The sequence below is a fragment of the Homo sapiens genome, chromosome 7 (genome assembly GCF_000001405.40).
Source record: "Homo sapiens chromosome 7, GRCh38.p14 Primary Assembly".
Lineage (NCBI taxonomy): Eukaryota > Metazoa > Chordata > Mammalia > Primates > Hominidae > Homo > Homo sapiens.
In genome coordinates this window covers 43,141,017-43,168,260 of record NC_000007.14, presented here as the reverse complement: position 1 = coordinate 43,168,260, position 27,244 = coordinate 43,141,017, and the positions used below count along the sequence as shown (strand labels likewise).

General features: G+C 40.8%; 1 protein-coding gene, 1 long non-coding RNA gene and 1 other non-coding gene across 13 annotated transcripts in view, besides 1 other annotated feature; all 3 read right to left on the bottom strand.

The window, feature by feature from the left end:
* HECW1 (HECT, C2 and WW domain containing E3 ubiquitin protein ligase 1) overlaps positions 1-27,244 on the bottom strand; it is a 453,355-nt gene that overhangs the window by 397,741 nt on the left and 28,370 nt on the right. The window lies entirely within an intron of this gene.
* Positions 3,633-3,692: an enhancer, noted in NCBI's record as "active region_25908". NCBI's record gives its function as "activates an Ori minimal core promoter by ATAC-STARR-seq in GM12878 lymphoblastoid cells {active_cell/tissue: GM12878}" and the evidence as "EXISTENCE:reporter gene assay evidence [ECO:0000049][PMID:35858748]".
* The window catches only part of HECW1-IT1 (HECW1 intronic transcript 1), a 45,292-nt gene continuing 23,121 nt past the window's right edge, over positions 5,074-27,244 (bottom strand). Inside the window, exons 4-7 of the long non-coding RNA NR_135295.1 lie at positions 20,676-20,813; positions 19,434-19,620; positions 6,546-6,651; positions 5,074-5,335 (exon numbers count right to left, since the gene is read on the bottom strand). This is a non-coding gene — a long non-coding RNA (HECW1 intronic transcript 1). The remainder of the gene's footprint in view (positions 5,336-6,545; positions 6,652-19,433; positions 19,621-20,675; positions 20,814-27,244) is intronic.
* MIR3943 (microRNA 3943) lies at positions 17,267-17,366 on the bottom strand. The gene has a single exon (NR_037508.1). It is a non-coding gene; the product is annotated as a microRNA 3943 (primary transcript).

The window sequence follows — 27,244 nt, the reverse complement described above, 5'->3', positions numbered from 1 at the left end:
CAGGCTGAACATATAATTGTGGTCTGAATTAAGATAGCATCCCATGATTCAACACTCATAAACATGATCTTTGTGCAATGCAGGTGCAAGATATTGGGGACATCATGCAAAAGTGAAACATGTCCAGTCCCTCTCCTCACGACACGTACACAAATCTACTTGTAAAAATAAACTAGTTGGTAATTGAACAAATGCCGAAAGGAAGCGTACACCACGGGCTATGGGGATTTAGAGATGGGAGGAATAATTTTACTTGGTGGTGTGGTGTTGGTGAGGGGTATGTGTGATGTGTGAGTATTCAGGAGTGCTGGGCTTACAGTATGGTTGTCTGGTTCAAATTCTAGCTCCAGCATTTATTTACTAGCAAGCCACCTAACCTCTCCAAGCCTCAATTTGTTTCCTCTTTAAAACAGGGTGTGTGTTAGAGTGTGAGTGATCATAATAGTACTGTTTAAGAATTAAATGAGGTGATCCTAGTAACACTTTTGTCAGCCATTACAGGAGAGAGGGTGGTACTTGAACTAGAACTTAATGCTAGAAGATACCTACATGGGTGGAAAGCAAATTTGTGAAGGTTTGGCTTTTACGCCACAATCCCTCATCCTTCTTTTTTACCCTTTCCTCCCTTATTCCTCCTGAACACACATTTCTTGAAACCTGCCCCAGCATGCCACCTATGCATTCTCTTTCACTTCTTGTAGGTTCCTCTGTAATGTCCTCCCATGTCCTGCTAGACCTCATCCTCCGAACCTCTTCCAACCTCCCTCCATCTGGAGTTGTTGAATAGTGGATCCCTTAAATTCATATCCACCCTTCTAGAACTTCAGAATATGACTTTATTTGGAAAGAGGCTCTTTGCAGAGGTGATTAAGCAAGGATCTTGAGATAAAATCACCCTAGATTTAGGGTGGACTCTAAGTGCAATGACTAGTATTCCTCGAATAGAAGAGAAGACACAGAGACATAGGGGAAGGAGGCCATGTGGAGATGAAGGCAAGGGCTGGAGTTATGTGGCCACAAACCGAGAAAGGTCAAGCACCACCAGGAGCTGGAAGAGGATAGGGGAGGATCCTCCTCTAGGGCCTTTGAAGGGAGCATGGCCCTTCTCATACCTAATATGAGACTTCTGGCTTCCAGAACTGAGAGAATAAATTCCTGTTGCTTTAGGCCATAAAGTTTGTGATAAGTTGTTATAGCAATGGGAAGTGAATCCACTATCTCATCAGAAAGGGGTCTTTTGGAAACATCCCACTCTGGTCATGCCTCTTGCCTGCCTTGCGTCATTCAGTGGCTGCCTACAGCCTGAGAGGTGAAGTCCCCTGGGGCCTGGCACACGGGGTCATCCACATGCGGCCACAGTTGCTGAGCTCTCCAGGAGCACCTGTCATCACCCATGACCAGCCATGGCCTGGGCCTGTGCTGCCCTCCCTGGCCCCACCCTCAGTCCTGTGCTGGTAATTAATTAAGATCAATAATTCAAATGGGCCCTTTCCACCTGACCAACAGAATGGTTTGCAGCATTCACCTCAGTGTCTTAGTACTCTTTAGTGGACAAAGGTTCCTATTATACTTCCTCTCAAGTTATGAATCATCTATAATCATCAATAAAATGTAATCTGAAGGATAATGTATACTGTACAATGTGAAATAAACAAAACATCTTTTTAGTAAAGAAAAGCTTTTACTTGTAATGTGACTAACCCCTATCTTTTCTTAAAATATCAGTAATAATAAGAGTTGGCTCAGGGGTCAGCCTTCCCTCATCCATCTCCACCCTGCAGCTGGCCTGGGTGCTGCTTCTAGATCCTAATACTATTATAGCTTGGGTAGGCATCTAGCTTATCACTCACCATTTCAAAGTCAATCTCCTTCACCAGGCCAGGCACAGTGGCTCATGCCTATAATCTTAGCACTTTGGGAGGCCAAGGCAGGTGGAACACACCTGAGGTCAGGAGTTCGTGACCAACCTGGCCAACATAGCAAAACCCCATCTCTACTAAAAATACAAAAGTAGCTGGCTGTGGTGGTGGGTGCCTGTAATCCCAGCTACTTGGGAGGCTGAGGCAAGAGAATTGCTTGAACCCAGGAGGCAGAGGTTGCAGTGAGCTGAGATAGCACCACTTCACTCCAGCCTGGGCGAAAGAGTGAAACTCTGTCTCAAAAAAAACCAAAAACACAAACAAACAAAAATCCCTTCACCAGAGAGGAAGGAAGACTTTTAACCATGTCCAATTCATCTTTGTGACCTAGCCACTCCAGCTGTGCTTGAACCACGGCAGGAGCTCATAGACACTGGTTGAATAATTGAATGAGTGAATGAGTATATTAATAGGCAAGGAGTTAGAGGGAAAGTCCTCTTTTAAATCTGCATTGGGACTCAGAATCTCAACACATGCAAATGGCTGATGGCATGGTTTTATATCTCTGGCATGACTGATTGAAATAAGAAATAGAAAGGAAGTTATTTCTGCTGGAGACACAGCATCTCAACTTTATTTGTCTTAATATAAAGCTTATAGCATATTTTCACAACTGCTGGCATGATTGATTGTAAGGAAACTATTACTAAAAAAAAATCTAAGTGATTAGAGTGGGCTCACAACGCCTATGTATGGATAAAAAGCATCATACAACCAGAAACCAAAAACTCTGCATAGGAGAGTTGTGTCCTTTTCAAATGCACAAAAAGCAAAAATAAAATCACTCTTATGTTCTCAAATCTATCTAAACTCCACAGAGTAAGCATCTTACACCTTCACGGATAATTGATTGAATTGTTATTAATGACCTTTGATGTCATTAGAGGCTGTTGTATTCAAACACACACACATACCTGTGTGCACACACACAAACACCCCCCCCCGCCAAAAGCCCAGTGTCCTTTGCATTATTTTCTAACCTCATGATATGTAACATAATTCATACACAGTGTTCTAAAGTTGGAAATTGTATGCACATGGCTGCCAATGTGTTCTGGAAATCTCCAACTCTGGACACAAAAGTGAAAACAGAGGAAAAGAAAAAGGGAAATTGACACATTTCAATAAACATTACAAACAATCAGTGCACTGTAATAATACTTGAAATAGATGCCAGGGAAAATTAAAATCCCTTTTATTTCCATTATTTTATTATTTTCATCATTTAGGGATTGAGAAGGCCTTACTATTGAAACCAAATTTCAAGCCAGACTAACTTATGGCATTTCTCCAAAAGTGGAAATGTTCTGAAACAAGGGAGCAGTTACAAATATAGACAAAGGGGCATTCCCTGACTCAGAGAGAGAGGAACCTTTAGAAACCACTGATTCATCCTTCTGCTTTCAGCCATGACTCTTCACTCTTAAGACACTCGCTGATGAATGAGCTTGTGTTATGATGACCTGCAGAGTGCAGGACAAATATTCTGAATCATACACCATGGAAGCGCGGCTGCATGCTCGGCATCTCCTTTCTAATTCTGGAAGAGTCTGCACTTGCCTCACATGCACCATCAGTCCTGGAGATCTGACCCCAGGATGTGGCGCTCTCTGTCCTCGCCTCTTTCTCCATTGCTTCTCCCTCCCTCCACACCAAAAGGAAAGTCCAGTCCAGTGGCCCTGAAACACACCCACTATGCACCAAGGACTGTGCCATGGCTGCTGGCCCTGCAGGGGCCTGACCCTCAGGAGGCCTGATAAAGGAAGGAGGGAGGGGTGTGTCTTCCCATGGGGAGCACAGGAGGGGTGCACTGAGGGGAGTCTGGGCACACAGCACAGATGCCGAGCAGCCCCCTCCACTCAAGGCTCGATCCAGAGGACACCCTGGTGCCTTCTTGATTTCCCAATGTTGCTGAATCTTCCCCCAGGAGGCCCCACTGGCACCTTCAACTCAACTTATGCAAAACACTGTTTCAATATGTGCTAACATTTTATTGGTCATGCACTTTTTATTAGCTGCTTTAATTTTTTGAAAGTAATTGAGGCATAAATAAATCATAAAAATAATAACTATTAAGTGCCAATGGCTGAGCCCTTCCTCCTCCTGCCTTCTCTGCTGCCTCCCTGTCTCCAGCCCATGCAGACCAGATGACTCGGGCCAACTCTGACTTCTCTTTGGCCATTCCTCTCCCCAGCCTGGTCCTTAGCTGCTCTTTGACTTCCCCCATGTATTGGCTCCCTTTCATTCCCACTACCTCCACCCAAGCCTGGGCCTCCAACCGCTCTCTTCGCTGCCTGCCCTGGCTCTTCTCCCTGTGTGAAATCTGCCAGCCAGGGCAGGATGAACTCCTGCCCACCTCCTGTCACCCAAGGCCCAGTTTTTTCTCTTAGACTGAGATTCTAGAAATACTAAATAAATTACTTGCTCTTGCCAGAACAGGACAATGACTTCCTTCTTTACAGTTGTACTCAACTGTTCGAGTCACCTGCAATACCCTCATCTTTGCTTGTCCAAATCCTTCCATCAAATCCAAACATCTCCACCATTTCTCAGTGGTTAGACCCAAGATGTGAGGGTTCCTGGCAGCCACATGTAGCAGGCAAGGAGGGAATGAACAAGATTAGGAAGAATTAAAGCAGAGCCATTTGGGGGAGCTTAGTTGATCGAACCTGGGGCAACTCTTTCCCAGGGGTCATAACTGGTCACTGAATCTGGGTTCTGGCTGACGGCTGGGAATGGAAGACCAGGAGCATGAGGGTGACTTGTAGCAAGCTCCCTGGATAACTGGCATATGGTCTGCGACTTGGCCTGGACCTTCAAATGGAAGGTCAGGGAGCCTAGGGAGGTGGGTTGAGGAATCCAGCCAGAAGCAGAGCCTGCCTCCATCTCCCCAGTCTTCGCAGCACCTCCCCCCGGACAGAACAAGGGTGGTGTTTGGCACACAATGAGCACTTCTGTCACTGCACACAGTGGGGGTGTGTATGTGTGTGTGCATGCACACTGATCAACATGGTGTCCTTTCCATATATGGTTCGCAATCCAACCCAAGGTGAAATGTATTTGCAATCCTCAAACTAGTAATGAATCTGATCGGATTTGCGTTCTTTTCTTCCAATAGCTTGGCAACGGGGAGAAATTGTTCAAGAAGCCTGGTGTGTGTTTGTTTGTTTATTGGGAGTGGTTTGCACAGATGGGATACAGCAAAAGGCTTTGGGACTGTTCTCGTCTGTGCTGTGTGCTCCTGGTCAACTCCCTTGCCTTTGCCTGCACAGGTCCAAAGGTGCCGGGTTGTTTCAGTTAATGAGTTTCATAGTCACACAGGATTTGGAGTCTAACAAAGGTAAGCAACTCCTCTGCTCACTGCTCATGTGACCTTAGGCAACTTCTTTGACTTCTCTAAGACTCATGTTCTTCATCTGTAAAACAACAGTAACAATAGTTGCCTCTTTATAGAGTTGTTGAGAGATTAGCTCAGATGATGCTTGTAAAGGTAGTTAGAACAATGCCTCCCACAGAACAAGTGCTCCATAAATTACTGCTGCTATTATTACAATGTTATTATTACAGTAGTATGGGAGCTTTGTTTATAGGGACCACTACCTCTGTATTAAAAGGCATTCCCAGGATCTCCAAGTGAGATCTTACTCAGTTTTTCTCCCTATGGAATCTCCTGGCTTACTGCCTGTAATAAGATGAATGGTGGGCCTCCAAAAGATATGTCCATGTCCTAATGCCTGGCAACTGTGAATATGACCTTATCTGGGAAAAGGGTGCATATGTAATTGAGTCAAGTATCTTGAGATAAAAGTTCATCCTGGATTATTCAGGTGGATCCTAAATCCAATGACAAGTGTCCTTGTGAGGGACACGCAGAGGAGAGACAGAGAGAAGAGGAGGCAGACCATGGAGATGGAGGTTGGAGTGATGCAGTCATAGCCACCAAACAACTGGAGCCCCCAGAAGCTAGGAGAGGAAAGGCACTGATTGGGCTCTGGAGCCTTGTGAGGGAGTACAGCCCTGCCAATGCCTGGATCTCAGACTTCTGGCCTCTAGAACTTTGAGAGAATACATTTCTATTGTTTTAAGCCACAAGTTTGTCGTAATTTGTTACGGCAGCCCAAGGAAACTGATCCACTAACAAGTAAGTTCTAAATATCATCTTGCTTTCTTTTTCAATTCCTTACAAAACACAAGGAAACGAAAAAAAGTAGCTGAGAGTGATAAGACACACTAATGGATAGATCTTGATGTTCACTAAAGTGGATATCCAATTGTTTATGGTGTTCATTAACGTGAAATCATTTTTTTCCTTCCACCAGTTATGAGAGAAGAGTGATCACAGAGCAAGTGACAGATGCCACCATCACATCTGCATGTTCAATAGTGGGCGGTGAAAGGCGCAAGCCCATGAAAAGCTCAAGCACCACCCCAGGACATTCATGGGAAACGGGTCACATTGCAGTTATAGCACAGAGGACACAGATACACACAAGTGACACCACAATGAAGACACTTTGCAGAGAAGTGTATATGGGAATTAGGGACTGGAGAAAAAGGAAAAGGAAAAATCTAAAACATAAGCTTAATTAGCCAGGAGTAACAGAATCACCTTAGTGATACAGAGACCTTGGAAGTTCACCCTCCAAAATAATGGAAACCGTCATCACCTCTCCAACCTTAGCTTGAATACTTCCAGGAATGGAGAGTTCACTATCTCACAAGGCTGCATTATCTGAAAGCGATATTTGAAATATCTTTCTCAGTCAGAGCCAGAGAAAATGTGTCTCACTGTACCATGCACTACTGGTGCTGTTTCTGATTTAAGAACTGTACACAATCCTTACATTCATTTACTCAACAGATACTGCCTAGGGCTGTGCTGTGCACCAAGCACTGTAATTACACAAGGGATCTAGAGGCTTAGGAGCCCTCTGCTCTCAGGACAAGGCCACACTTCAGAGAGGTTGCTATGGGATCTCTAACTTCCCTCCACCAGCTCTTCTCATTCTCAGACTGAATCTAAAACATTACCAATAGGAATACCATTAACCAACATAATGAAAAATAATTGTACCAATAGCATTAAAAAAAACCCAAAGCAATCTCAAAAACCATGTCATAGAAACCAATGGGCAACTGCAAAAGGGAGGCCTCTTGAAAAAGTGACACTAATTCAGATTCTTTTGTCATCCTTCATTCCCAATCAGTCATGACACACAGTTCCACCTGTGTGTCACCACTCCCTGGACTCTGAGTTTTCAAAGGTCCCAGCCCCGCTTTACTCCACAGGACCCAGGGGACTCACACACCCAGGGCCAACATCCCTTCAAGAAAGCTGATGGTTTAGAAGGAGAAAAAAAAAACCTGTAGAAATGGAGAGATGTTATAAAATTTAAATAAGGAAAGTAAATTGAATAAGGTAAAAATAAGTAAGTAAATAAATAAATACGACAACTGTAAAAGGCACAGCACAGCGGGCGGGAACAGTAGAAGTGCTGAAACTCATGAACAAAAGAGCTTGTCCCTGAGGTGAAATTTGATACAATTTTATTGGCCTTTGTGAAAGAAATAGGAGAAATAACATTTTATTTATTTGTAAGCCATCATAATTGCTAAAGAAATTTTGAAAAAAAGAAAATTAATGAGATGAATTAAAAGTATAGTAAATGACAATAATTAACAGTGTGGTTCTGGACCAGAACCACAGATCAATGGAACGAAAGAAACTCCAAAAACAAACACTGATACGTTGAAGACTTTGCGATGAATAAAAGTGACATTTCCAAACCAAGGGAGAATGGATGAATTACTCAACGCGTGCCTCTAGGACATTTATGGAGGGAAAACATTATATCTCTCTTTTATCAAAATAAAGTCAAAGCATTGAAATGTAAAAAGAAAGAAAACCATAAAAGTATTAGAAAATCCAAGTGGAGGTGAAGGCAGCTCTCATTTTTCTAACCGCAAGACTAAACCACAACAACACAAGTGAAGCATTGAGAGCTCTGACCAAAGAATGAAAAAAAGTATTTGCATAAAAAAAATTAACAAAAATCCAAAGGCAAACAACAAATTGGGGGGAAATATTGAAAATATGTATAAAAGGCAATTCTTTACATATAAAGGATATCTTAAATTATAAAACAAATGACAAACAGACCCATAGAAAAATGGGCAAAGATCACGAAGATGCCACCCACAAATCAGTAAGTGCAAAGGGACAAAAGTATCTGCAAAACTGTTTAATCTCACTAGTTATCAAAATAATGTGAAGTGAAACAATAGTTTAATTTGCTCATTTATCAATTGGTGAGGATTTTAATAAACAAGAAAATAATGTATGTACTATATTTGTAAAGATACAGCTGGGCGCGGTGGCTCACGCCTGTAATCGCAGCACTTTGAGAGGCCGAGGCGGGCAGATCACGAGGTCAGGACATCGAGACCATCCTGGCTAACATGGTGAAAATCTGTCTTTACTGAAAATACAAAAAATTAGCCGGGCGTGGTGGTGGGCACCTGTAGTCCCAGCTACTTGGGAGGCTGAGGCAGGAGAAAGGCATGAACCTGGGAGCAGAGCTTGCAGTGAGCAGAGATCGCCACCACTGCACTCCAGCCTGGGCGACAGAGCAAGATTCCATCTCAAAAAAAAAAAAAAAAAAAGATACAAGGAAATAGGAAATGCTTTCATATATTTGTAAAGATATAAGGAAATGTTTTTTGTATGTGTTAGTAGAATTGTAAATTCATAAAAACTATCTGATGGACAATTTGGCAATCTCAGAAACTTTAAAAATGTGCATATACCTGTGCCCAAGTTCTACTTTTTAGAAATTTTTTTTAAGGAAACTAATATATCAATGTATAAAGATTTAGCTAAAAGGATATAAAAGCCAGAGTTATTTGCATATGAGATAAATGGTTAAATAAACTGTCAGATTCCAATGAGATCACTTGGACACAGGGTGGGGAACATCACACACAGGGGCCTGTCGGGGGGTTGGGGGCTGGGGGAAGGATAGCATTAGGAGAAATACCTAAGGTAAGTGATGAGTTGATGGGTGCAGCAAACCAACATGGCACATGTATACATATATATCAAACCTGCACATTGTGCACATGTACCCTAGAACTTAAAGTATAATAATAAAAAAAAAGAAAATGAACAAAGGTAAAAAAATTGAAAAATAAAAAATTCCTCTTTAAAATAAATAAATAAATAAATAAATAAATAAACTGTCAGATTCATGCAATGGCGTGAATGTTTACTGCAGCAGTTCTCAGGCTGTGGTCCCTAGACCAGCAGCTCCAGCACCATCTGGGAACTTGTTAAAAATGCAAATTATCTGGCCCTTTCCCACCTACTCAATCAGAACCTCTGGAGAGTGATGCCCAGCAATCTGTATTTTAACAAACCTTCTGTGTGATTCTGATGCACAGTATAGTTTGAGAACCTCTCTCTTGGTGCATAAGTCAGGGTCCTAGGAGGAACTAGATGAGACACTTGAATTGGTTTTTTAAAGTATTTTGAACTATTCACAAAAAGAAAGTAAACCACGAGCATGGTGCAGTTACCATTGTCTCAAGGGGATGGTAACTGGAACCCAGGGAGAGGTAGCTGGGTGGGAATGACTGCCTGATGGAGCAGGCAAGATGGAAAGGGGGAGGGGATGGGATTGGAGGGGTAGATGGGAGATGTGTGGCACATGCCCTCATTGTAAAGGATTGTGCAGGAGAATATCCACATGAAAGGTGTTCATGAAATATCCAGTTTTTAAAAAGCGGTACCCAGCTCCTTTTTCATTCAGAAATATATATCATACATATTTTGTATGCACCCACAGATATGCATGAAAAAATGCTTGTAGGATATATGCCAAAGTATTAACAGTAGTTATGTCCAGATCTTGAGATAATGGGTAAGTTCTTATTACTTGATCCTTTTTGCTTATCTATGTTTTCTAAAAGTTCTACAATAAACATGCAAGAAACAAATTTAATGCATTCCCTTAAGCAAAATCATGAATATAAGAATCTCAAAGAAAATTGGAAAACTGGTGTGTTTCCCCAATATCTTAATTTTTATGGTTTATGTATAATAACCACCCATATTGGTCAACCTGTATTGCCTTTTACCTTGACAAGTTTTTGGAAGCAATGTGGTTGTAAGAAGAGAAAATGTAGTAAGTAATAGTACTATTTAGTAAACATTTCTTCAGTGACTACTCCAAATAAAACACTGCACAAAGTGCTTCCTGAATTATCTCAATCAATACTCACAAGAAGCTTAAAAGCCTTATATTATACTTCACTGTATTGATAAGGAAATTAAAGCTAAGATACATGAGTTATCTGTACTAGACTACATCTTCACTCTTCATCTTAGGGGAGCAAGGACTCAGACCAGAGCTGTCTAAGGCCAAAATCTGTGCTCTACATTTCTGTGGATGTGAGGAAATATGATTTTGAAAATAATGTATTGGCTGGGCACGGTGGCTCATGCCTATAGTCCCAGCACTTTGGGAGGCCAAGACAGGTGCACCGCTTGAGCTCAGGAGATTAAGACCGGCCTGGGCAATGCGGCGAAACCCCATCACTACAAAAAATAGAAAAATTAGCCAGGTTTGGTGGCATGTGCCTATAGTACCAGCTACTCAGTAGGCTAAGGTGGGAAGATCTCTTAAGCCTGGGAAACAGAGGTTGCAGTGAGCTGAGACTGCACCACTGCACTCCAGGTTGAGTGACATAGTGAGACCCTGTCTCAAAAAAAGAAAGAAAAGAATATATCAATTTTATCCTTATAAATGTAAACCCTGTGACAGCACAATTCACTGCATAATTTCACACAGTAATTTATTATTCTATGAGTACAGCAATGGTTTTCATGTAAGTATCTGAATATTACAGTCAAAATTATTATTTTAATAGTCTACTCAGAAATGATTTAATATATCAAATGTAAAAACTTTTTTTTTATACTTTGGTCTTGAATAATGCAGCCAGAGGAATGAATCTACTGATAACATTTTTTTGGATGTTTGATAGAATCTACTGGAAAGAATTCATTTTCAACTATGAAAACTCTGGAGTTTCCTAAAGATTAATTCAAGCCATTATACCTGAAGCAACACTTCCCACAATGTTTAATGTGTCCCATAAATGTTTGATTTTGGGCTTATAGTCTGAGTGGTACTTTTTTATACGCATGCCTCTCCTATTGAATGTAAATTCCTTTGAAATAAAGATGCATATTTTATTAGTATTGACTTCCACTATGCCTAGCACAAAGCCCAGGTTTGCGAATGAACATGTGTCAGTCAGGACAGGCTAAATTATGCTGTGGTAACAAATAGCCCCTCAAATCTCATTGACTTAATCTGATAAAACTTTCTTTTCTCATTCACACTACATGTCTAATCTGGGTGGGTAGGGAAGGCCTGCTTATAAGAAACTCATGCTGATGGAAGCTTCAGCTTGACCCATGCTTTCCTGATCACTTTGGTGTGGGAAGATAATGTGGTGAATGGCCTCATAAACTTCAACCTAGAGGTAACACACATCACTTCCACTTATTCCACTGGCCAGTGCAGATCACATGACCACGCCTAAGGTGAACAGGGCTACCACATGCCTGGAAGATGGAGAACCAGAAACATCTGGTACAATATTAAGGACTGGCACAAAAAGGTTTTGGGAATGAATCATGAAATTATTAATTAGCACTTGTTAATTCATTTACTCACTAATGACAGCCTACTATCTCAGGTTATCTTTTCTGACACGAATCAAGCCAAACATAGAAATAGATACACATCATTTTGAGGTTGCAGTTGTGTTATCGCTGAAATATTAATTTTATTTCATTATGTGTGGCAAAATTCATATTAATTCTACATTTACTCACTAGTTTGATCTTTCCAGAGGTACTAAGATAAGAGAAATACCATTGATTAATAATGACCATTAAGAAAAGTGAGAGAAGAAAGACTGGCTTGGGCACACCCCATAATTCATTCACTTAATTCAGTGAACACCTACTGGGGGCCTGCTCTGTCCCAGATACCTCAGAGACTCTGCGAGTATGAAGCTGACGAACACTTAATGCACACCAAAATCTTAAAGTATTGTAAAGAATAAGTTTTTCTTTATATGGTAGTCTTTCATGTACAAGATATTTGTCTTGTTTTCCTTTTATAATTTTATTAAAAAGTCATTTTTAAAAAACTTCCAATTATTGATCTTTCATCACAGTTTAGAATTGGTAGAATTTATTTCCCCCAGTTAAGTGTTCTTAACTATTTAACTGCAGTGCTAATTTTCTTCCTTTATTACTGTCACTGGACTCATTCTGGATTTACTGTTTTAAACGAACAAAGAAAGACACTAGTGAAATGTAGACTGTTGCCAGTCTAAGTGGTTCTGTCCATGAACAAAAGACCTTTGTGAGCACAGGCCTTTTGTGTTCATTCACGAATCTGCTGTTACACCTGTAAGATTGTTGTACTGGACCTGGGAAGGTGGCAGGACCTCTCTGAGCTCAGCATGCCTGTGAGCACAAGGGTTTCTCTGAAGTCAATTTCATAAAATCAGTGTCCATTGTATCCCATGATAAATGCTCGCCAGGTTTTATTATCTTAGAGACAATTGCTGCAGAGAAAAGTCAAAACGGTAATACAAACTGAGTAGAGAGGTACACACTCAGCAAATTTATCAAATAGCCTGTTTTAAATCAACCTCCCTGTGTTCACTATACAAAGCATTTCAATAATACATATATATAAAATTCTTTTGCCAAAGTAAAATACAAATTTCTGTAAAGACTTTATAATAATTTTTAGTAAACTCAATTTCCTTATAAGATGAATTTGTTTTCCTTTGTTTACTTGTTCTTCCTATTTTCATCTTGGATTTTAACCAAAAAATATCTTTGAAGAGTTATGAACCTTTTTTGTCCCCAAAGTCTCCTTTTTTCCCCTCCAACTTCCAGTTGCCATGTATTCTAGCCCTCTTGGTATATTCTCTGTTTATTGTTTATTTTTAAGAATTGTATTTCTTTGAGGACATTTTAGAAAGTTGTTAAATTTAATAGCAGCATATTGTGTCTTCATAAGGACATTTACATGTGTGTACAATTTCATAATTTCCAAGAACTTTCCTATATGTGGTCTCACTTGGTAGAGCAAAGCACAAAGTTTGTTATTTTGAAAGTCGTGCTACAAGTTAGCCAGCCACTTGAGGATGTTCCTCAGGAGGTGCATGAATTTACTCCATGACTTGAAAGCAAAAGGCAGGCTCCCTAAGTCACCTGAGCTGCAGCCTTGCGTTGTAGTCTGTACCCCTCACAGAAGGTTACACTAAATACAAAGTTCAAGATTGGGGAGGAGCACCTGGGTAGATGAAGCAGTCTCAGTAATGTTCCAGTTCTAAGTTTACATATGTTCTCTGTACATATCAAATGTTACATAATTTTAAAAATAAAACAAAAAGATAATGCCTAACCTTTCCAGAAAATTATACCTATTTCACTATGGAAGAAACATCACTCTGCAAAAATGCATCTTAGAACCTACCAGTGAAGGAAGGTTTGAGAGCAGGGAGATGTCTCCAGCAGAAACAGCGCAGTGTGGCTTAAGACATTCCTGCTTCCTGTGCTGGAATACAGGGCTTTCTTGAAATTTCCTCTTTAGGATGCTAGGGGCAAAAATTTCATTTCAAATGCATACTAATGTTTCCTAATATACACTATTTACCCCCACAAACAAATACACCTAAGGTGTAAAGAAGAACAATACAAATGCTCGTGAAAACCACTGATTACTACAACGAGAATATAATTCACTGGAGAATGGAGGAAACTTTCACGACCTAGAAATGCAAAGGGGACAAATAGCAACTAACCTGGGGAGATTTTACCATAATTTATTTTGTCTTTGACAGATAAAGCAGGTGAATGAATGAGTGAATGAAATTGGTCTTCTGATATTTAACTAGTAAGGAAAAATTAATAGTACATATCAAACTTGTACCTACTAAACAGGAAGTACATCTTCCTTGTAAATGGAACATGCTCAAATATATCAATATATTTGACAAACCACATCACTGGACCACAATGCAGAAATGTTAGAAATTATTAATAAAATTTTAGACACAGACATGTAAACACATTACTACTTGGAAAGATTGTTGACTATTGTAAATAAGTATTTTGCCATAGAGGAAATCAATACCACATTTATAGAACCTTAAGAAAATGGAGGCAGTCATTCATTATTTGCAAATCCAAGAAATAATTTTAAAATACTATTAGAACTGACATGGAATTTGAGTAACAAGATTAAGGCTACATCTCCAAAGAGAAATTGCTTTTCTAACAACTACCAAAAAAAAAATTACAATCTTCAAAAAGTAAACATCTCATTTATCTCATCAACAAAAAGCATAAAATACACAGGCATGTACCTAGAAGTGCCTTGTTCTAATAAAATAGTAAATATTATCTCAATCCTGTATGCTTCACATGAACTCTTTCTGATTCTCACAACTCCACAAGTGGGGTTACTGTCTCCATGTTTACTATACAAAGCATTTCAACAATATATATAAAAAATTCCATTTTCCTCGGTCAGACCTCAGGAAAATGACGTCTGGACAACTAAGTAAATTGTCAGATGCCACATAGCTCTTGGAGAGGCAGGCTGGAAACCTCTGTCCTTCTTCAAAGCCTCTTCAAAGTCTTTCCACTCTCCACTGTCCCTTGATCAGCTGCACAACCAATACAAAGAAAACAGATGCTGACAAGAGGGCTCTGAACTGAATGTAGAGACATCTATGTCCCCAGATGGGAAAACTAGACATGAGAAAGACTTTTTTCCCCTTAAAATAATGTACGGGTTGAATGTAACTCCAACCAAAATCTCTATGAGACTTCCTTTTTGTAGGGGGAGACACTTTTGTGGAAATGTTACCCCAAAGTTCACGGATATACATCGACAGGAAAGGGAATACATATGCCCATCTCCATTCTCTTTTTCCAATGCTGACCAGACAGCAGAAGAACACTGTAAAAGCAGTAATTTCACAAGGACAAGAAAATTCAAGAAATAATGACAATGAAACAATCCATATATTTTTTAACAATGGGCTTGATGGAGATCAGTGGTTTTAAAAAAAAATGCAAAGACCAAAAACTAGTGCCCCAAAAAGGAAGTCAACAGGAAACAAGCCAATTCACATCACAGAATCATAGAAAGTTCTAGAACTCGAGAGAAGCCTACATAAGAGAAGGTGTATATAGGGAAAGCTGGCTCTCGCATCCTCTTACCCACCCCAGCAATCAACAGAAAGTTTATTCTCAGAGGAATTTTTTTAAAAGAAGCTCCAGACTAAGAGGCACCAGGCACAGAAGAGGAGTGACGGACATTACTAAATTGCACCATGCTGACTTAAGCCTTCTCCAGCTCCCAAACTCACAGTCAAGCTCATATCCACAGGAAGAAGTCTGGAGGCTTCTCTGAAGAAAACAACCAGCTCAGGGGGAAACGCCTACAGATATGAAGACCCGAGGGCCCCCGGAATGAAGTGAGCTCCACCAATTGATAGACTAAATCTCATTCCTAAATGTGACCACAGAGCCAAGGACCACCAGATAGTTGAAGAAAGCTTCTAACAGGAAATATAGAGACCAAAACAAACAGGCAGGTAAAAAGAACTTGAAAGAAACAGAGATATTAAGGAACAGAAGAAAACTAACAAAAACAACAACAACAAAGCAATATTGTACCCTTATAAGAGAGAGCTCATCCATGAAACAGGAATATGAGTCTATAAAAAAGAATAAAGAGCAATATAATGCTCTGAAAAATTAAATACTTCTATCCAACATATTTTAAAAAACCATTTGAAACTTTAGTTCTGGATTGTTACGATTTTATTAATTTATGCCTCTTATTATTAGGACTTTTTTGTTCACAGTTGTATTCCCAAAATACATAGTTTCAAAATACATTTTGGCTTACCTGTGAGATTACTGCTTTCAATGCTTATAACTGTCTCACGTATGTACTATCTTTCACTTGTATTTGTTCTGTATTCTGATGGGTTTTAATGAGTGGTATAGGTCCTTGAACATTTTTTTTCCCAGAAATTATGCATTAACAGAATATTTCCTAAGTATTTTCACATCTCAAAGTATATTTCATTTGTAGCTATACAAATACTAGTTTGTCTACACAAAGGAATCCAGGTTCACAATCTTGGTGAATCTTGCTCCTTTGTCATCAGGCAATTAGTGTGGTAAATGAGCTGTTTGATGACACTTTAGGTTGATCTCTCCCATCTTTTTTTTAGTTTAGAGATCTATAGAATTTATGTCTTTACTCATGAAATTAGAACATATTATTAGGATATGTATATGTATGTGTCTTTTTCAATATCTTGTATGGGTTTGGGAGAAATTTTCACCAGCAACCTCAAATCTTTCTTTAGCCTAGGTAAATTTTCTCTTATATATCTTTAAATATTATCCCTTCTCCATCTGTTCCAATTAGAGTGAAGAGAATAAACATATGTTGGATACACTAAATCTATCCTCTCAGTCACTTCTATCTTGTAATTCCTATTTATATTTTCATTCTATGTTCTGTGAAAACCCCTCAAGTTAGTTTCTAAATCCCTAATTCAATTTTTAGCAATGTTTATTTGGTATTTGTTGCCAATATCAGTGGGGCTCCTTCAGCAATCACATTTTAAATTTCCTTTTTCAAAGCAGCCTACTTTTTTGGCACAATATCCCCCACAACTCTCCTTGAGATTGCTAATTGAGATGTTCTTCAATTTTTATTTTAAAAATTAATTCTGTTTTATGCATTTTCCCAAACACTTCACATCTTCCCCCAACCCATCTGATCTGCTGCTTTTCTTAAAGTGTCTTCAGTTAAAATCCTTCATTGTCTGTCCATGTTTATCAAAGAAAAGTGTAAATCAATCATTTTTACAAGGTTTACTAAGTACTTTCTGTGCCCCAGGCAGAATACTAAAGAATGGAAACTCTAAGTCAAGGAAACCCCAAAAATAATCTTATGAGATCATGTTATCCTCCCTGAGTGTCACCTGGGGAAGAAAAGGTGTAGCCAGCTGCACCCAGTTGGGAATTTTTTCCAAATTACTGAGATCTTTCTGCCTCTTGGCTCCACTCACTTCTCCAGCCTCTGTCTTGGGACCACGGGACCATCTCTGCAGTCAGGGCTGTAGGTGCCAGGAGAAGTCAGGAAAGGGCACATGAACTGATTTTTCTGTTTCTTTTTTTCTTGTATTTGCTGTGCAAGCCCGGAGTTAGCTGGAGGCCTGTCCAGGTAGGAGCCAGCCGTGGCCCACCCCCCACTTTACTTAGCAAGTTGTCCACGCCAAGTGAAGCCTGGGGGCTAGGCCGCAGCTGCCGTCTGTGTGGGGGGGCGCTGATAAAGATGCTGAAGTCCTTCATCACCCGCTCCCTGGCCCATGGACCTTCCCAGCCACAGCTGTTCTGAGCCAAGAATGTGGCAGGTGTCAACTTGGGACTCCTATCTTCTCTGGATGCCCTGCTGTGCCTGTACTGGGCGGAGGATCACAAAGCACTGACTGGTTTCTTTGCCATTGTGACGCCATCTTTAAAATGCTGATCCAGGCCTGATGCAGTGGCTCATGCCTGTAATCCCAGCACTTTGGGAGGCCAAGGCAGGTGGATCACTTGAGGTCAGGAGTTCAAAACAAGCCTGGCCAGAATGGTGAAACCCCATCTTTACTGAAAATACAAAAATTAGCCAGGCATGATGGCAGGTGCCTATAATCCCAGCTACTCAGGAGGCTGAGGCATAAGAATCACTTGAACCCAGGAAGCAGAGGTTGCACCGAGCTGACATTGCACCACTGCACTCCTGTCTGGGTGGCAGAGTGAGACTCAATCTAAAATAAAATAAAATAAAATGAAATAAAATGCTGGTTCAGTGACGGTAGCCTTCCAATGTTAAAGCAAATCTAACTGAAATCAATTGGTCAGAGGAATACACAGTGTTATAGACAGCGTAACTAAAAGCTTTCTTAGAAAGTTAAGTAACCTTGGTTCAAATCCTGGTTTCACAAATTACTATGTGAACTTCAGCAAGTTATTTTACTTCTCTATTTCCTTTTCTGTAAAATAGTGAAAATAATAGGGTTATTGGGCAGAACAATGAAGTAAGACACTTAAAACAATTCAGCACAGTGCCTGATTTGCAGTAAGTACAATAAATGTTAGTTATCATCATTTTTAACCATAAGATATATTGCACTGCAAGAAGATATCATGAGATAATATTAGACAAACCCAAAATAAGGGACATTCTATGAAATAGAATTGCATTGCATTCAGCAATGCCAAAAGATATCTATGACCACTACAGTAATTCAAAATTGTTTGAGTTTTACTTTTTTTGATGAAAAAAGAAGTAAAAATAGTAGAAAATTAAAAGTAAAATCATCATTATTTGCAAATCATGCAATATATAAAGTCTAAATAAACCCTATTGTATGAGTGTGTTAATGTATAAAATATGTCTGAAAAAAATTTTGAAGAATATATCTGTAAATATTTTTATTTTAACTTTTAATTTTTGAATAATTTTAGGCTTATAGAAAAGTTGCAAAAATAGGGCAGAGTTACCATTTATCTTCCACCAAGCATCCTCTTAAGTTAATATCTAATCTTACATCATCATGATACATTTGTCAAAATTAAGTATTGGTACAGTACTATAAACTACTGACATTTGCATGTTTTACCAACATCACTTTTCTGTTCCAAGATTCAATCCAAGATCCCACATTATACTGTTATGTCTCCTTGCTCTCCTCTAATCCATGAGAATTCCTCAGCCTTTCCTTGTCTCTCAGGATGTGGACATTTCAAAAAATTCTGGACAGTTATTTTGTAGCATGACCCTTATTTTGGGTTTATCTAATATTCTCTCATGATTAGACTGAGGTTGTGTGTTCTGGATAAGAATACACAGAAGTGATGTGTCTTTCTCAGTGCATCATATCTGGAGGTGATATCGATATGTCAACATGATGACAATATGTTTTATTACTGGTGATAATTGACTTTGATCACATGGTTAAGGGGGTCGCTGCTCTAACCTCATTATTTTTTCTTTGTAATCAATACGTATTTAAGGGGGAGATACATTGATACTATGCAAATATTGTATTTCTCCTAAAACTTTTTAGCTTCTAATTTTAGCATTCATCTGTGGATTTTATTTGCCACAATTATTACAGGGGTGTTCTGATGGTAATTTTGTATTTCCTTAATTTCTTCTATGTTTATCAATTGGAATTCTTCTGTAGGGAAGAACTGTCCCTACATTTTTGAGACTCATTTACTTTCAGGGCTGAAGAAGACATTGGAGTCTTCTGAGATTTCAGTTTGCCAGCAGTGTAGACATCACCTGAGAGCTTCTTAGAAATGCAAAATCTCAGGCCCTATCCCAGACCTACTAGATCAGAATCTGTATTTTAGCAAGATCCTTGAGGTACTCATGTTCTTCAAAAGTCACTTTAGTTCCATGTCATCAAGGGACTTGATCAATTGAGTGTAAACTTGAAGTTAGCAGCAGAGCCAGACCACACCTCAGTCTCCTGACTCCCAATGCACTCTTCTTTTCTTATTTGATTGATCCATTCTCTAGAGAAATCCAAAGAGTACAGGCTTTGGACTCAGACCCAAATTTAAGTATCCAACACTGTTTACCTAGCAAGCTACTTAACCTCTCTGAACCTGAGTTTCTGCATATGTAAAGGGCAGGGCAAATATTAGCTAACTTTAAGGATCACAGTGAAGACAAGAGCTACTAGATGGAAAGCATCTGGCAGAATGGCTTGGGCATGAGGACACAGAGACATGCAGGCACATCCTCTTCCAGGAGGGACTGCAGCCAGGTGCTGGGAGTGCTGTCAGCACATGCCTTCAGCTGCTAGCCTCTTCAAGCCTCACCCAAGGTCATGCCTTTTCAGTGGTGACTCACATCCAAAGACAGGGATGTGGAGGCCCAGGCATTTTGGCCAGACACAGAATGGGACAACCTTGATGTCCATTTCAGCTCCAGAACTCTTTGAGGTCTGCTGGCCTTCTTTCTGCTCTGTCCTGTTTTATAGCTCACCTCTCCCTTGGCTCATTCCCCTTTCTGCCCCCTTCCTTCACAGATGTTGAATTCAAGGGCACTCCCTACACACAAATCCATCTCAGGTTTCATTTCCAGAAGAACCCAAACTGCCACATGGCACAAAATAGATTCTCAAGAATTGGGAACAACTGTTATAAATATTATTATGCCTTTGGGGGATGAGCTTTGCAAATTGCCCACTATCACTAAATAGAAAGTGACCCAAATATGTACTAAGTTTTTATTATACACCTGGCCTAGTGCTCAGCTTAGGGATATAAAGTTTAGTAAAACAATGCTAAGTGCTGTCTAGTAGGGAAGACTGAAAATAAACTAGACGGTGCAATTAACCCAAACATCATTCTGGCAAGACTACTGTGGCCAATGGCCAGTCCCTTCGCAGCTGAAACTCTCCTGATACACACAACTTGAAACAGCACCATCAAGGGCCATTACTGGAGAACCCTAGTTGGGAGATGGAAGATGAATCATCACTCCTTTTTTAATTAAAAAAAGGGTACATGACCTGATTTTAAACTAAAGAAATTTATTGTTTTCTTAAAAACTCTTTGTTTACCTTTGATACAAAAAAGTCCACAAATAGATGTAAGCAAGTTCTGGACATCCAAGCCATGATGAATATGGAACTGAGTTTTATAGCTCTGCTTTCAAAAGTACCTCTTACACGTTTATCTATGGTTTCATTTCATCTGTTCTGCAATAACAAAAGAAAAACTACATTGTGCTTCAATTGCAAAGGAATGGGCACTGAAAGCTGAACAAAATCATGTTTCTTCAAGCAAAGGGCAAAATGCACTCTATGTCACTATTTCAATTGGATGAAATGGTGTAAAGCTCAATTCTCAATTATTTACTGTAATGCAAGATGCTTAGCCTGGAGTGCTGTTAAAAAAAAACAAAACTACATTCTTTCAAGATTAAATGCATATTACCATTAGAGAAATCAGAATAGGCACATTAAAATATTTACCTGGGAACTACCTATTATTCTTTAGCTCTGGCTTTGAAAGCCTAGTAAAGGTTTCCTTGGATAACAGACAACTTTAATAGTCTTTCACAACAAAAGTTAAAAGTACAAAATTTCCATTACCCACTGCTGGCCAGAGGCAAGTTCCTCAAGGGGTATGCAAATACACTGCCACATAAAGCAGCCATAAAATAGTCTTTAGAAGCAATATGGCACCCCCAAAGTGGCAAATAACCTAGTTCCTGTATCCCAGTTTGATGATCTTCACCACCTACTCAAGTCCTCCATCTTCATTTCTTCATGTCCACATATTCTGGGATAAGCACCATACACTAATGGGCCATGAGCTGTCTGTGCACAGACATGGGGCTTGGCCAGTGCCCTGCTGCCACTGGCTCCTGATTAGCCTGGCACATCTTCCTTGTCTGCATGGAGTGGGCATCCCCAAAGAAGCCTTGTCCATCATACATCCTCTATTTCTCCCCTTCAGAAGCTTCTCTCTTTAAAGACATGATACTTCAGTGAAATTCCATCTAAGAACCACCAGGTGAATAGACAAGCAGTGGTTCAGAATTGTTACAGTAATGCTTGGGCAACTTATTAAGACTCGAATTTCCAGGTCCAACTGTAAATGTTCCATTCCCTTTCTCCCCTTTTCACCAGTTAAGGCTTATTCATTTCCTTATTATTAATTCAAAATATTATATACTGCCTTATAACCAAAATATTTCAGTGATGGCATTGATACATATAATCTAGTGGTTCCCAACCAGAGGCAATTTTGCTCCCCATGGGACATTTGGAAAACTCTGGAGATATTTTTGATTGTTACAACTGGAGAGGGTAGGGTGGGTGCAGCTGCTACTAGCAAGCAGAAGCCAGAGATGCTGCCAAATATCCTACAAAGCAAAGGGCAGCCTCCAACAAAAAAGAATTATTGGACCCAGAATGTCAATAGTGCCAAGGTGGAGAAACCCTAAATCCAATACCACAGAAAATTAAGTGGAAAAGGAAATTAGGACAAAGCAAAATTGGAAGCAAGATAGTAAAATTCAGTCAAAGGCAAACATTTTGCTGTAAATGGGGATAGATTTGGCTTTGAGTTTCCTATCAGCCAAACCAAAGAGGAGACACGGGGTAGTGGAGAGAATCACATCTTCCATTGTAAGGGCCCCAAGTGATAAATCCAGGTGTGATTTAACTGTGGCTTCTTCTCACCGCATACCACTGTGCAAGGAAGGAAGGAGCAAAAACCAACACCGTTCAGCAAGAGCAGTTCTACAAAGGACCCAAAGTGGTAGACCCAAGTCAACTTCCACTCTGTTATTATTATTTTTTTTTACCCTGGAGGTGACACACAGAAGATACAGAGGGTTGGGTAGCCTACAGATCTTTCATAAAATGATTTAGTGCTCTGTTTCTCACAACCATCCTCTGGATAACACTTGGGCAACAGAGAGTTTGAAATTATCTCTTGTGGCAATACATGAGAGCATACAGACTTTTCAATTAAGGGCAGAGACATATTCTCTAGACCTCTACAGCAGGAAGACACCTCTGCCTCCAGAAGCTGTTCATGAAGATATAAGAAAGACATGCCTGTAATCCCAGCACTTTGGGAGGCCAAAGCGGGAGGATTGCTTGAGCCCAGGAGTTCAAGAACCAATCTGGGCAACATAGCAAAACCCTGTCTCTACAAAAAAATACAAAAATTAGCCAGGCGTGGTGGCACATATCTGTGGTCCCAGCTACTCAGGAGGCTGAGGTGGGAGGATCGCCTGAGCCCAGGAGGTGGATGTTGCAGTGAGGTCAGATCACACCACTGCACTCCAGCCTGGGCAAGACAGCGAGACCCTGTCTCAAATATATACGTGTATGAAAGAAGGAAAGGGCAAAGCCATGCTGATTTTACCAGGGAAACACACTCCATTAATCATCTTAAGGGGCCATGCAGACTACATTGAGTTCATACAGCTTAACCCACAATCCAATCAACCCATATCTCAAGATTCAAAAGATAAGGAAAAATACCTTAAAAAGTATAAAATGATTTCTGTTGAGAGAGTTAGTAATTTATTTTGGGAATAAAGTTGTAAAACATCCACACCATGTACCAAAAGTATAGCTCATATATTTAAAGATTCAAATGTTAAAAAAAATGAAAGGACATATATGCAGATTATTTACATCTAAATTCATATAATTATCCACTGATTTGTCTTTAGAAAGAAGGAATTTTAAAAGCAAGTGAGAAAATAGAATGTAAAAGGTTGATAGATTTTGCTACATAAAATTTAATTGGGTTTTCGAACATCAAAAATACCGTAAAACCAGCACCCACATCTTGATGTCTGATTCTATTCCACAATAAAAGAAAATAGGGCACCTTGGAGAAATGGCTGATCTAGGACTAAAACAAGAAATATACAAGATGAGTCTGGAGTATTTTGTAGTGCCAGGAAATAAGAAAGTGCTCTAGAAAATAAAGCAACAGACAAAGAAACAAGAAAACTCCACAAAATGCAGCATATCAAAGGGACACACAAGTCAATAAAAGGGCTCCCAGACAAGTTCAACAACAAAATAATGTATTATTGGATTATAATTGAAATAATAAAAAAATACTCCTGAGTTCATACTGACAAAAATAAGTGAGTAAACTAATCAATGGGGGAGAAGAGTCCAATCTCCCTTGGGGAAAAATTCCATAGGTAGGTAGGTGTCTGCTTTCAAGGAGGAAGAACAGACTTCCTACTCCTTCAGTGTGAGCTATGCATAGTGACTTCCTTCCAAAGAGCTCTGCATGGGAAGGGGAAAAAGAGAAATTTCATAGAGGAGAAACCCAACAAACACTACCTCAGCCAAGTGATTAAGGTCAACAGTGATGAGTCATATTGATATTGTATACCGTTAATATAATGGAATGAAATGGCACCTTACTCTTCAAACCACATAGCCCCAGTATAATTGTGAGAAAAAAAGTCCCAATGAAGGAACATTCTATAAAATACCTGATGAACATTCTTCAAAACTGTCAAGGTCATCAAAAACAAGGAACGTCCGAGAAACTCTTACAGCCAACAGGTGTCTAGGAAGACATGATGACTCGATGTCATTTGGCATCTGGAATGGGATCCTGGAACATGCCAGACTTGCTGACCGTGAGTGCAGCAATATCATCATCTGTGACAAAGTGGCAAGAAGCCTGCTGGCCATTGGCTGACAAACACAGTCTTAGCAGGTCAAATCTTGACCAGGAAGGTTATGAGTTATACTCCTGAGTATGCAGAGAAAAACTACCTAGTTCCCTCTAGACTTCTGAGCTGGAAAAATTTCTAACTTAATCAATGTCTTGTGCCCACCCCAAGTGGCCATCAAATAAGGCAAATAACTCAGTCTCCCCAGTGAGTGTACATGGAATGACCACATTTTGCAGGTTGAACAAGCGGTTGGTAGCCAGGAGGATCTTCTCCAAAGTCCTTTGGGCAGTTGAAGCAGCAGCTGCATAAGGGTTCCAGGGCTAGACTCCTACAATTATGCCCACAGCTTCATCCTGGGGAGTGAGAGCTGGCATCTAAAGGAGGCATCCAGCTGGGCACCATGGCTCACACCTGTAATCCCAATACTTTGGGAGGCTGAGGTGGGAGGATTTCTTGAGCCCAGGAGTTCAAGACGAGCCTGGGTAGCATGGTGAGAGCCTGTCTCTAACAAAAAAATAAAAAAATTAGCCAGGCATGGTGGTGCATCCCTGTAGCCCTAGCTACTCAGGAGGCTGAGGTGGGAAGATTGCTTGAACCCAGGAAGTTGAGGCTGCAGTTAGCTGTGATCAAGCCCCTGCACTTCAGCATCATTGACAGAGCGAGACCTTGTCTCAAAACAATATATAAAAAAGAAAGGCGGCCTTGGCCGGGCACAGTGGCTCACCCCTGTAATCTCAGCACCTTGGGAGGCTGAGGTGGGTGGATCATCTGAGTTCAGGAGTTCACGACCAGTCTGGCCAACATGGTAAAACCCCGTCTCTACTAAAACTACAAAAATTAGCTGGGCGTGGTGGCATGCACCTGTGATCCCAGCTACTCAGGAGGTGGAGGTTTCAGTGAGCCAAGATCATGCCACTGCACTCTGGCCTGGGCAACAGAGCAAGACTCTGTCTTAATAAAATAAAATAAAATAGGCAGCCTACCACTCTCCAGTCTGGAGTGTTACATGGCCAAGCCCAGCTTTGGCTACCACAGCACCCACCACTCTGAGCCAGCCTGGGACCTGTCGATTTTACAGATCTGGGACCTGTCGATTTTACAGATCTGGGACCTGTCGATTTTACACCCTGTGCTCCATCCCACAGATAGGAGTGGATGCAAGACAAGCCGGAACCCCGCTTCTGAGCATAAGGCACAGGAAGCTATCAAGTGGATGCTGAAACTGGAGTGCTAAAAGAACCAATGTGTATACATGCTAGATCCTCCAGGAACTGTTGTCAAATTCCAGAGGTAAAACAAAAAATTAGAAGCCACATAGGATTTACCACAGAGGTAAAACAAAAAATTAGAAGCCACAGAGGGGCCAGGCCTGTGGGCAAAGAGATGTGAGGATGGGAAGCCAGTCTGCTGTCACTTTGAGCTGAAACCTAGCAGGACGTTGGCTTTGTGTGGGGAGGGAGCTGAGCCAGAGCCAGGACTGGTGGGCACAGCAGCCCACCCTCGACCCTCGGAAGGGAGGAGGTAACTTCCCCCAGCTTGGTCTCCAGTGCTACCCTTCAGCATGCTAGATTCTGTGCATGAATACATTTCTAAGAATTTTCTGTTTGGGTGACAAAGCTGCCCTAGGGGAACACTGGAGTGCGAGTAAGAATTATCTTGGGAACTTGTTTAAAAGTGCTGATTTTAGGCAATATCCACAGTGTTGTCCAAGTCCCAGGGGCCCGATTCCATGGGCCCCCTCCTGGGAGTTCAGAATCTGCAGGTTTAATTGGCATCCCCAAATGATGAGGATGCAGGGTATCCAGGCCAGGCGTTCACAACAAAAACAGGCATCCCACACCTCCATCAGACCCAGACCTCAATCTAGTTTTCAAGTCCTCAGAGAATTTTCTCTATCATAGAGAATGTGGAATGCAGTAAAATAAATGGAGAAATAAATACAGACTCCAGTGCAAGCACAGCGTGTGCAGGTTTTCGGGAGGAATAGAACTTTGAGGTCAGTTGCACCCAAACTCTCAAAGCCTAAATTAGAGCCAGTGGGAGGAATCCTGCAGTAGGACTTGAGGTGTCCGGCTCATAGACTCCAAGTCGCCAGTACACCCATGCTGTTAGGAAGGATTTGTATTTCTTTGGTTCCTTACAAACTGAGAAATTAGTTTTCTAAAATCCAAATATCTCACCGGGTGCGGTGGTTCACACCTGTAATCTCAGCACTTTGGGAGGCCGAGGCTGGCGGATCACCTGACGTCGGGAGTTCAAGACCAGCCTGACCAACATGGAGAAACCCTGTCTCTACTAAAAATACAACATTAGCCGGGGTGGTGGTGCATGCCTGTAATCCCAGCTACTCAGGATGCTTGAGGCAGGAGAACTGCTTGAACCCAGGAGGCGGAGGCGCGGTGAGCTGAGATTGCGCCATTGCACTCTAGCCTGGGCAACAACAGCGAAACTCTGTTTAAAAAAAAAACAAAATCCAAATCTCAAACAAAAATATGTTAAAACCCAAGAGAAATGTCAACACTCTTGGCTACATTCCAAGAGAAGCACATTCTAAGAAAACCACTAGCTTCAAAGGGCTCAGCCCCAGGTGCAGCAGTTCTCTGAGGTAAGCACTGTGACCCAGCAGGGGGTCAGCGTGCCTGTGTCTGGGCAATTCCTGGACAGGTGGCTTCGGTGAGATTCCAGGGCCGTGGGGGTGGGCACCCTGGTGAGGCAACTGAATAGAGTTTCCTAATGACCCCACTCAGTGGATTCAAGCAAAGAATGTTATAGCCAGAGGGAGCCAGCTTTCAGTCAGGAGTGGGTAGTGAGAAATGTCACCTCGCAGTGCTGGCAGACCAGACCATTGGTCAGCTTTCTCCATACCAAAGACGGGTGTTATGAACTGAATGTCTGTGTCTCCCCACAATTCACCTGTTGATGTCCTAACCCACCGCATGGCTGTATTAAGACACAGAG